Genomic DNA, 12,125 nt, shown 5'->3' on the forward strand with positions numbered 1-12,125 from the left:
CATTTCCAATACAAAAGACATGCTATCTCGCTGTCTGACAATTTTACTGCCTCAAAACATCTAGTAAAATACAAGTCTTTTATGTATACTGAATGGCCTCACCAATTATAATAAAATTAGCTGACAATCATGAAGTACTTTTTGATTTAAAAGGTATTTTATTTCTATCTATTATAGTATTATTATTTGGTATCACGAAAATCTCAAGCTAGCACCACAACAGGTCTAACTAAAGTGATTCTATGATACAACTGTAAATGACACACTAATGTAACCCAATGGATACCCCAGAATTTATCCATTCATTGATTCTTGACAGATCTTTCCTGTAAGTCTGGAATATACAAGGAATTCCTACTCCTAAGATGGAAGAAGTATTCTCTCTGCAGGCCTCCTAAACCAAAAAGGAGTTAACACTCTCAAAGAATGGAAATCAGGCCAGGCATGGTGGCTCATGCCTGTAATCCCAGCACTTTGGGAAGCTGAGGCAGGCAGATCATTTGAGGTCAGGAGTTCAAGAGCAGCCTGGCCAACATGGTGAAATCCCTGTCTCTACTAAAAATACAAAAATTAGCCAGGCATGGTGATGGGTGCCTGTAATCCCAGCTACTAGGGAGGCTGAGGCAGGCGAATAGCTTGAATCCGGGAGGCAGAGGTTGCAGTGAGCAGAGATCGCACCACTGCACTCCAGCCCGGGTGACAGAGCGAGATACTGTCTCAAAAAAAAAAAAAAAAAATCAGACAAAAATTTTTTTCTTTTACCAAATTCAAAGATGAGGTAAAGGCACACAAATCCTGCCATCAAGGAACAACTGCCTAAAGTCTGGCTGACTGCAGCACTGTATCAGTCCTGTTCATGGTTGGTATGCCAATTCTCTCTGTTTCAACAAAGTTTTTGCTACCCCCAGGAAAGTGATCAGTTTCTGTACATCCAAAATAGCAAAATCTGAACTGAAGCTATCTCAGGTTCATTAAAGTAGGCAGAAAGAAGTCCCAAGGACTCTTTCCCTGTTAAACGCTGACTGAAATGAACAGCAAATGCCAATATCCCAGGAAAGACTGGCTACTGCTCTACTGGATCTCAAAACCTACCACAGGGGTTCCTGACTGACCCACTGTTAAATTAGCACCGTAAACTTAAATCAGAATTTATTCCTTCTTTCCTACTTTCCCTACCACCCTGATTATTCCTATATTTAAGAGCTTCATCCCTGGGCGTGGTGGCTCATGCTTGTAATCCCAGCACTTTGGGAGGCCAAGACTGGTGGATTACCTGAGGTCAGGAGTTGGCAACTAGCCTGGCCAACATGTCGAAACCCCGTCTCTACTAAAAATATAAAAATTAGAAGGGTGTGGTGGCGGGCGCCTATAATTCCCGATACTCAGGAGGCTGAGGCAGGAGAATTGCTTGAACCCAGGAGGGGAGGTTGCAGTGAGCAGAGATCATGCCACTGCATCCAGTCTGGGTGACAAGAGCGAAACTCCATCTCAAAAAAAAAAAAAAAAAAGAGAGAGAGAGATTCATCAATCCAGAGGGATACAAAAAAATCTGTCACTTTCATAAGTCTCTCACAAAAGGTTTTATAAAGAGTTAGAGTATCAGTAACCCATTATAAAGGTGGAGAAGTCAATTTTTCAAAATTAACACAAATTAACTCAATTTATTCACCCACAGAGAGTAGATATTGTGTTTCTAACAGGCTCTCTGTGAAACAATTTCTACTGTGCAGTCTAGATCTAAGATCTTTTATTGCCTTGTGAAATAGAATAAAATTTTACAAGTAAACTAAAACAAGAGGCAATCACAAACAAGCAAACTCTCCCTAGCTAAAGGGAGACATCTAGAGGCAAAAGCTTAATACTGGGGCCTTTTCTCACACCCCTGGGGATCTTAGAGCCATAAAGGAGCTTTTTTAAAGTTCTTTCACTTAGTAATTATTCTCTAACTGTGCAATTTGTGAATTCAATCCACTGAACAAAGCACTGCTTATCTTAAACTATTACTTGCCACCTAGAATGATAATATTCCCAAAATTCCAGAAGACTCAAGTAAATCTCATTCATATTCTTACTTTAAATCTCCTTATTCAATCTGTTGGTTCTATTGGCAAAATGGCACAGGCAAATGATGGACATGGCTAGTGACAAGACTTAAATTGACAGGAGTACAGATAGATATAATCTTAACCTGCTTCATAGCAGAACCCCAAAGCAAGCCCTTATACAGAATGTTCCAAGACCCTCAAAAGATTAAGGCTGAAGAAACTATAATTATTTTAATGAAAAAACTGCCTCTCTCGTGAAATGTTTGCTGAGTTGGCTGATTTGATCCAAAAGATCTCTAGCTCATCCCCCCATTACTGTAACTAACGCAAATTCCTTCAGGGGCCAAATGAAACTGGCTGGTGGAGTGAAAGGCATCAGGGAAGGAGTGGAGATGGGGTAAACTGAAGACTGCATCCCCAGATTAAAGGCATTCCATTTTCTCTCTTAACCCTAAGCTGGTCAACTTCCCCACCCTCCCATGCTGACCCCAGCCCAGCCCCAATCGCTGTAACTTTGTCTACAGATTTTCCAAACTTTCTCCCCAAATGCTGGAATTGAAGTAAAGCAAATCTGGAAGAGAAAAAGTAACATCAAATGTGTGTATATATAGAAAATGTCTGGGCCGGGCACGGTGGCTCATGCCTGTAATCCCAGCACTTTGGGAGGCCAAGGCGGGTGGATCACCTGAGGTCAGGAGTTCAAGACCAGCCTGGCCAACATGGAGAAACCCCGTCTCTACTAAAAATACAAAAAAATTAGCCAGACATGGTGGCGGGCTAATAGCTGTAATCCCAGCTATTCGGGAGGCTGAGGCAGGAGAATCACTTGAACCCAGGAGGTGGAGGTTGCAGGGAGCCAAGATCGCGCCACTGCACTCCAGCCTGGGCAACAAGAGTCTAACTCCACCTCAAAAAAAAAAAAAAAAATGTCTGGGGTATACTCCCAGGTGTTAGTAATAGTTATATGGAGATGATAGTATTATGCTTTCATTTCCTTCTCCTATCATACTGATTTTTTAATAAGAAGAGAAAAAAGTAACTTTTAATTAAAAAAAAAAAAAGCATCAAAAGCCATAGCATACCCAGAGTCCTCAAAACTCTGAAAGTGAAAATAACAAACAGGAAAAATAGAGAGCCAGTATTGGAATATCACATTAATCAAGGAGAAATATTTGAGTGGCTACGTGTCATCATTGTGCTATACTCAGATGTCATTTTTAAATAGGAAAAGATAATATCAGCCAAGAAATGCTACATCTAATAATACGAGGCAACTGAATTAAAATGCTGAAGTTCAGGCAAATTAAGCTATCTCCTAACACTTGCCCAAATTTCACAAAGCCTTACCATAAAGATCAGGTCCATGAGGAGTAAAGACATTATACAAAACAATGTTGAGTGGTGCAATCACCAACTTCCCATAATAGTAGCTGTCAATGACCACCACAGGCACCTAAAACAGAGCAGAAAATAGTTTTGATCTAGAAACATTCTCAAAATGCTAATAGGATAAACCTGAGAATGAAAAACAGAATAAACTCCTGATGTTCCTTTTTTCACATCAAAGTTGCTTTCATTACAACTTTAGGACAAAGCAAGTAAAAAAGAAAACTCACCAGAAATAGTATGAGGGCCATCAGCGACCAATGAAAGAAACTCTTCCACCTGTGTTTCATGACCAGCAAATCAAAGGCAATGGGTAAACTATTTAACAGAGAAACAGAGCGGGGAGTTAAATAAATACTGACAGAGACAAATCAGATTCACACATACCTCATGCTGAACTGAGAATAAAATGCCTCTGCCAGTTATAGTGAGGGAAGAAACCTGGTATGTGAGAGGATGTCGTCACAGGACCTGTCAGAGTGCTCTGTATCCCACTGATGCACAAGAAATAGAATTACTGAGCTGCTGGAATGAATTCCATTTTATACACATTTATGGGTAACAGAAATTTAAAATATATGTGCCCTACTGTCTTACACCCACCCTGCCAAATAAATAAGTACTAACCTCACCCTTCCATGATTTACTAGGATTTTAGTAATAACCTTATTACAGACTTTTTTTTTTTTTTTTTTTTGAGACAGGGTCTCACTCTATTGCCCAGGCTGGAGTGCAGTGGCGCAATCTCGGCTCACTACCGCCTCCATCTCCTAGGTTCCAGCATTCTCCTGCCTCAGGCTCCCGAGTAGCTGGGACTACAGGCACAGGCCATCAGCCCTGGCTAATTTTTTTTTTTTTTTTTTTTTTTTGAGACAGAGTCTCACTCTGTCGCCCAGGCTGGGTGCAGTGGTGTGATCTCAGCTCACTGCAACTGCCGCCTCCTGGGTTCAAGCAATTCTCCTGCCTAAGCCTCCCAAGTAACTGGGACTACAGGTGTGCACCACCACACCCCGCTAATTGTTTTGTATTTTTAGTAGAGACAGGGTTTCACCATGTTGGCCAGGCTGGTCTCAAACTCCTGACCTCAGGAGATCTGCCTGCATCGCCCTCCCAAAGTGCTGGAATTACAGGCATGAGCCACCACGCCTGGCCCCATCTTTGAATTTATATGGCATCATCATCTCTATCATTGATTTAGCAATGTCATGTGCTGTCACAGTACCTCTTCTGTGATTTGAACCTCCATGTTGTTATGTAAATTCCGTATAACATTTTGCGTTTTTATTTTTTGTCACCCCAACTACTTCCATTTCCATAGCACCTGTATTTCTCCTTTGATAAGTCATACTTTTAATTACTTGTCCAATATCTGTCTTTCCTACTAAAATGTTAAGTTCCAAAAGGGCAGGAACCATGACTGTCTAATTTCTAAAATATCAGCAGTATCTAGCACAAAGCATTCAATGAATGACAGTATACTGATTGCTAACTGACTAATTGTGATCCTGAAATCACTTATCTTGGTAAAGGCAGACTCATCGAAATGTGGCACCCAAGAGGTATTTGAGGAACTCAGTGAAATTCAATGTAGATGAAATAGTGAATGAAAGGAATGGAAGAACTGACAAAAAGAAGCTGGAAAAGTAAAAGGAAGACCATGCAGGGCTTTCTGTGTTATCTTTGAGTTTGGATACCACAGGGCAGGGGTTGGCAAACTTTTTATTTAAAGGATCTGACGGTATATATTTTAGGGTCTGCAGGCCACATATGTTCTCTGTTGCATAGTCTTCTCCCTCTGTGTATGTTTGTTGTTTTTTAAAAACCCTTTAAAAACGTAAAAACTATTTAGTTGTTGGGCTATACAAAAACAGGTCAGTCGGCCAACCTCCATGACATAAAGCAATGGAGAAGCTGCCATAGAGTTTAAAACAGGGAAGTGATACAACCACATCTGCATTTGAGGAATATAACTCTAGTGGAGTTTGGAGAGCTGATTTACAGGGGTCAAGACTAGAGAGGAGGAGATCATTTAGGAGGCCGTGTAGTGATCCAGGAACAAGGGGGAGTGAAGACAAGTAATCAGATTCAAAAGATATTCAGGAGATACAACCAATTAACACTGATGGGAAAGAGAGAAGAGTCACAGACAATTTTCAGGTTTCTGGGTCAGTATTGAGGAGACAGCAGTACTATTTACTGGAATAGAAACACAAGTAAAGGAACAGCTATGGAGAGAAGATAATGAATTCAGCAGCTATCTACTAAGCAGCTGGGAATATATGAATGAAGCTCAAGAGAGATAACTGGACTAGACATTAAGCTATGGGAATCACCAAGATGGCTGAGAGATAGCAGAAAGTACAGAAGAGGACCTAAGATACAATCCTGAGGAACATGAAAATCTGAGAATGTGCAAAATAGAATAGAAGAAAGGAATGGAGATGAGGAAACCAGCCTTTAAAAGGCACTTAAGAAATTTTAAAATGGACTATTCTCTTAGTAACTCCCCTCATAAAAATTTACCCCATAGGTAAATTCCCACAAGTGCACAAAGATATCTGTATAATAATGTTCACTGGGCCGGACACGATGGCTCACACCTGTAAACCCAACACTTTGGGAGGCCGAGACAGGTGGATCACGAGGTCAGGAGTTCGAGACCAGCCTGGCCAATATGGTAAAACCTCGTCTCTATTAAAAATACAAAAATTAGCTGGGCGTGGTGGCATGTGCCTGTAAACCCAGCTACTTGGGAGGCTGAGGCAGGAGAATTGCTTGAACCCGGGAGACAGAGGTTGCAGTGAGCCAAGATCGTGCCACTGCACTCCAGCCTGGGTGACAGAGCAAGACTCCATCTCAAAAAAAAAAAAAAAAAAAAGAAAAAAAAATTGTTCACTGAAGCATTGGTTATAACAGTAAAAAAATGAAAACCAAATGTCTACCAATAAGGCAATAAGTAAATCATGGAATGTTATGCAACCAATATAAACAATTATATAAATTTAATATGTAGAATACCTATATATATACAGAATAATTCCATTTGTTTTAAGAATGTAGATAGGTATGTATACAAATATTTATACACACAGCATAATTTTTCTGGAAAGACATATACCAAACTATTAGCAGTGACTATCTTTGAGGATTGAGCTAGCGGAGAAGAAAATTAGGAATTGTTTTTACCTTATACAATCTGGTACTTACTTTTTTTTTTTTTTTTTACAATAAAGATATAATCCTTCTAAAATAACCTTAGCATCAGATTAAAATATTTTCCTAAATTACCTGTGGTACAGGTAAGAAATTAAGGTACCACACACTAGAACAGAAGTAGTGGGAACAAAGAGTATACAAGGAGCTTGGTGGAAAAAAAGATGCTGGGGGCAAGAAAGAAGGAAGACTGGGCCAGGCGCAGTGGCTCATGCCTGTAATCCCAGCACTTTGTGAGGCCAAGGTGAGCGGATCACCTGAGGTCGGGAGTTCAAGACCAGCCTGACCAACATGGAGAAACCCTGTCTCTACTAAAAAATACAAAATTAGCCAGGTGTGGTGGCGCACGCCTGTAGCCCCAGCTACTTGGGGGGCTGAGGCAGGAGAATCACTTGAACCCAGGAGGCGGAGGTTGTGATAAGCCAACATCGTGCCATTGCACTCCAGCCTGGGCAACAAGAGTGAAACTCCGTCTCAAAATAAATAAATAAATAAAAATAAAGAAAGAAGGAAGACGGGAGGAAACTCAGATTTCAAATCCGAGTGAGTGAAAAAATTCACAGAACAGGGTGGTGCCGCGTGGAGAAAACATCAGCTATAGAGTCAAAAAGGCCTGGATTCAAAAGCAAACATAATCTTAAAGGTAAATTATTCAAACTCTCAGAGTCTACTTTCTCATTTATAAAGTACTAATAATTGTATTTCTCCTGCAGAGTTGTTGTAAGGTTTCAAGATAAGGTTTACGAAGGGTTTCACTGTGCCTAACACATAGCAGATGCTCAATGGTCATTATTCTTATTAGAATTAATCATAATAGTAAGTGCTAAGAGAAATATTCTTCCATTTCCCAGAATCTTTGAAAGCCCAATTGATTAACTTCAGATTCTATGCAGACAATATGGAGCTAATCCAACATTAAGATTTACTATATGCCCAGCGATATATGGGAGGAGAACTGTTAGTTTCTTACCCAAGAGCTGCACTGAATGGCCAGCCTAAGATAGCCCCAGCTGCTACTCCCAGCACAGCAATGGAAGTCTTGTCCATATACCATCCAGTCATGGCTATCAACGTAGTGTACATACAGAAGCTACTAGGAAGGAATGCTGCAAGAGTAAAGAAGTGAAAAAAGGCAGGAGGACAAGAGCTCGAGGTTAATTAGGTATCAATTAAAAACTGATTAAAAATTTACCTACATTATAAAATGTCAATAAACAGGTACATAATTGGGGAAATGCTATATTAGAAAGGACAGCAAAGTGATATTCTTTTTTAAAAAAATGAAGTTCAATGACTCTTATTTTTCTCACTCCTGGTTTTTTTTTTTAGACGGAGTCTTGCTCTATCACCAGGCTGGAGTGCAGTGGTGGGATCTCAGCTCACTGCAACCTGATTCCCTGGTTCAAGCGATTCTCTTGACTGAGCCTACCGAGTAGCTGGGATTACAGGCACGTGCCACCACACCCAGCTAATTTTTGTATTTTTAGTAGAGACGGGGTTTCACCATGTTGGCCAGGCTGGTCTCGAGCTCTTGACCTCGTGATCTGCCTGTCTCGACCTCCCAAAGTACCGGGATTACAGGCGTGAACCACCGCACCTGGCCTCTCCTTCCTGTTTTTTTAGGTACCAACCCAATTATACAATTCTAACCATGTAATTCCTCTCCCAGCCTACACCTCAAATCAAAAACTCATAGAATTCCACGCTCCCCAGGAACACCCCATGATTATATTTCCAGGAAGGGAATATGCTTTAAAAGACTTAGAGCCATTGCTGACAATTTACTTCTGAAGAAGCTTATCTTCCATTGGTCCTCTGAGACTGTCCTGGTCCTAACCTCTAGCCCCGGAAATTCTAGAAAGCCTCCTCAAGGGCCAGATATTGTATGGCAGCAATGCTTTGCACTCTCCACCTGCTGACACAGATAATCTGGCCTTTAAATAGCCCCCTAATTAGTTCCATCTACCTCAACCTTGTTTTATACAGCAGAGGACAGAGTACAGGGTCTCTGGAACAGAAACAATTGATTAAAGTGTTTCTAGTAACTCTGAACAAAAATGCAGATCTGCCTCTTCTGCTGCAGAAAGTCTGAATCAGTAGGGAAGAAAAATCAGTATCAACTACAAAACAACCACAATTAATAGGCAGTGAGGTTTTTTTAAACTCAGCAAAGGGTTCAGAGGCTCTGTATGAAAAGATGCCTTCAACTTATCTGTGTCTCAAATGAGATTACAAAACTAAAGATATTCTAAGGAATTTTCTACATATAAAGATCAATTGTAGGAGTAGCAGGCCAGGCACAGTGGCTCATGTCTTTAATCTCAGTACTCTGGGAGGCCAAGGTGTGGGGGGCTGCTTGAGGCTAAGAGTTTGAGACCAGCCTGGGCAACACAGTGAAACTCCATCTCTACAAAAAACTTTAAAACTAGCCAGGCATGGTGATGCATGCCTATAGTCCTAGCTACTTGGGAGGCTGTAGTGGAAAGACTGCTAGAGCCCAGGAATTCAAGGCTGCAGTGAGCTACGATTGTGCCACTGCACTCTAACCTGCCTAGGTGAAGAGCAAGACCTTGCACTTGAAAAGAAAAGAGGCCACGTGCGGTGGCTCACACCTGTAATCCCAGCACTTTGGGAGACTGAGGCGGGTGGATCACGTGGTCAGGAGTTTGAGAACAGCCTGACCAACATGGTGAAACCCCATCTCTATTAAAAATAAAAAAATTAGCTGGGCGTGGTGGTGCACGCCTGTAATCCCAGCTACTCAGGAGCCTGAGGCAAGAGAATCGCTTGAACCTTGGGAGGAGGGGGTTGCAATGAGCCGAGATGGCATCACTGCACTCCAGCCTGGGCAAACAGAGCGAGACTCTTGTCTCAAAAAAAAAGAAAAGAAAAGAAAAGAAAAAAAGTAGTAGGAAAGCAACTTAAAAAACATCTGAGGTACACCCTTTACCAATAAATGTCAAATAATAATGATGCCATCCAAAGCTGTCAGTTCCAGCTGCAGTGTAGAGGACAAAGGGGGCAGAGGAATCTGAGGGTAGAGCACAGATGCATTTAGGACAGGCTCTCAAAGTCACTCTGGAGTACAGCCCTGACATCTCTGCAGAACAACATCAATTTTGATATATTCAATAAGGGAAAAGTAAGCATATAATTTTGTGCCAGATACTATGTTTTTGTGTATACTCTGTATATACTAGATCCTGGTACACACAAGCAGAAACTAAAATTGAGACAATTATATCCAGTAACTTAATTTTTCTGGAGAACTGGGAATAGACTACCATTTGGCAGTGGACCAACTTGATTCAGCTTATACAACACAAATGTTCAATGGCAGAACAGTCTGAAAGCCAATGCTCTAGAGTGAGGTTTTTATTCTAAATTTCCAGAAGCTTATTATTAAAAGAAAGCCCAGCAGAAGATGCACATAGAATACATATCAAATAATGTATCATCAGTAGAAAACAGAATCATCAACAACAGGTCTTTATGTACAAATAACTTCTTTAAACAAAATAAAAGAATTACTTTCTTTCCACTAATGGCCAAGAAAGGAGGTGGGTGGTTGATGCAAGAATGGAATAGAAAACATCCTGGTGAGACTACCAGCTCTACCATTTATGAATTTTGACTTTTAGTAAATCATTTCATCTACGTTTCAATGTCCTTACCTGCAAAAGTGAGAAAATGTTTTTCTTACTTACATGGTAGGATTGTTACAAAGGTCAATCAAGATAATGTAGATAACAGTGCTCTGCAAATTATTGACATGTTCTACAAATATAACCTACATTTGGACAAATGCTTCCTTTAAATGCAACTGTGAACTATTGGTGAACCTGCAATTCCCTCATCTGCCCTTTTACTTACCTGGTGATGACCTGCAATTCCCTCATCTGCCCTTTTACTTACCTGATGATGAGCAAAACATGCCAGTGCTGAGAACCAAGAAGGCTAGCATCATTCGACTCACGTGCAACCCAAACTTCTTGCACACAGCCCTAGGAAAAAGGCAAAGACTATCAGCATTGAGAATATTAGGAATAGACATTTCAAATCAAAGGAGAAAAACACGTACCACAGATAACACTGAAGATCTAAAGTCAAACACAAAACTACCTTGTCAGGTTTGTTAGCAATTCACTGTGCATAAGAAACCCAAACATTCTTATTTCTGACACAGAAGAGAAGCTCCCTACCTAAAAGAAAATGTATTCTTTACATGCTAAGATTATATCTATCAAGTGGAAAATAGAATGATGTGGTGAAAAATAATAGACCTCAGATACAGGTGGGCACACATTCAAATTCTGGCTCTGCCACTTACTAGCAGTGGAACCCTACTCTGGTTGAATAATGTCTCTGTCTGATTCCTCAAGCATAAAATAATGATAATAATACAAACTTTGTAAGGTTTCTGTGAGGACAATGCAAGGAAAAGTGCTTAGGAGAGTGCCTGGCACATAGTTGCTCAATAAATGGTAGTTGTCAGAAAAAAAGGCTAGGAGATAGATGAAAATGTGAATAAGTGGTTAAATCAGTGTTTCTCAAACTTAAGCAATTACGTATCTTCTTCTAATTCTTTCTTGTAGGTGTGAACCCCACAAATTAAATGTATTTAGGCATTATTACTGCTTCACTCAGTCAATGTTTGTTCGGACATACCCACGTGTTCATCATTTCCTAGCTCAGATTCCTTACTGCATTTCAGAGCTTCTTTCTGAAATAATTTTGCTTTTTCCTAAGTACCTCTTTTAGAAGTTATTTCAATAAGAATCTGTTAATGATAAATTCCGTTTTTTTGGTTGGTTGGTTTCCTTTCGTTTCCTTTCTTCCCCTCCTCCTCCCACTCCGAGATAGAGTCATACTCTCTGTCGCTCAGGCTGGAGTGCAGTGGCATGGTCATAGCTCACTGTATCCTTGAACTCCAGTGTTCAATGGAACCTCCTGCCTCAGCCTCCTGAATGGCTAGGAGTAACTGTGACTACAGGCATGTGCCATCACATCCAGCTAATTTTTTGTAGAGATGAGGTCTTGCTATGTTGCCCAGGCTGATCTCAAATTCCTGAGCTCAAGCAATCCTCAATGATCCTCCTGCCTAAGTCTCCCAAAGCACTGGGATTACAGGCTTCTTCCTTTTTTTTTCCCTTTCTCTTTTTTTTTTAAACTGAAAAGTCTGTATTTAGCTCTTGGTCTTAAAAGATGGCTTAACCTAATATACAATTTTAGGATGAAAGTTATTTTCTCTCAGGACTTTGAAGATATTCTTTTTTGGTCTTCTGGCTGTTAAAAAGTCTTCTGTCAGTGTAATTGCCTAACACTCCTTTGCAGGTATTCTATTAGTTCTCTGACAATTTTTAAAATCTTTCTCTTTGTCTCTATTGTCTTACACAGTTTCACTACACTAATTTTTTATGTATCTAGCTTGGGATATGTTAGGTTTACTAAATCCATGGATTAGCATCTTTTTTTCCCATC

The 12,125-nt window shown here is 40.4% G+C and overlaps 1 protein-coding gene across 31 annotated transcripts in view; it reads right to left on the reverse strand.

Moving 5' to 3' along the window:
- Positions 1-12,125, reverse strand: part of ALG9 (ALG9 alpha-1,2-mannosyltransferase) — a 103,557-nt gene that overhangs the window by 81,963 nt on the left and 9,469 nt on the right. For 29 of the 31 annotated variants that reach the window (XR_001747968.3, XR_001747967.3, XR_007062503.1 and 26 more), the window contains 4 exons: positions 10,560-10,648; positions 7,615-7,750; positions 3,662-3,749; positions 3,393-3,498 (listed from right to left, as the gene is read on the reverse strand). Coding sequence is in view for 24 of the 31 variants with exons in the window: in NM_001352418.1 (NP_001339347.1) it covers positions 3,393-3,498; positions 3,662-3,749; positions 7,615-7,750; positions 10,560-10,648 (419 nt within the window). In the remaining 7 variants the exon portion in view is untranslated. Of the gene's footprint in view, positions 1-3,392; positions 3,499-3,661; positions 3,750-7,614; positions 7,751-10,175; positions 10,649-12,125 lie in introns of those variants that run through there. The other 2 variants (NM_001352422.2, XR_001747977.2) reach the window with 2 other exon arrangements.

The sequence above is a fragment of the Homo sapiens genome, chromosome 11 (assembly GCF_000001405.40).
Source record: "Homo sapiens chromosome 11, GRCh38.p14 Primary Assembly".
NCBI classification, from domain to species: domain Eukaryota; kingdom Metazoa; phylum Chordata; class Mammalia; order Primates; family Hominidae; genus Homo; species Homo sapiens.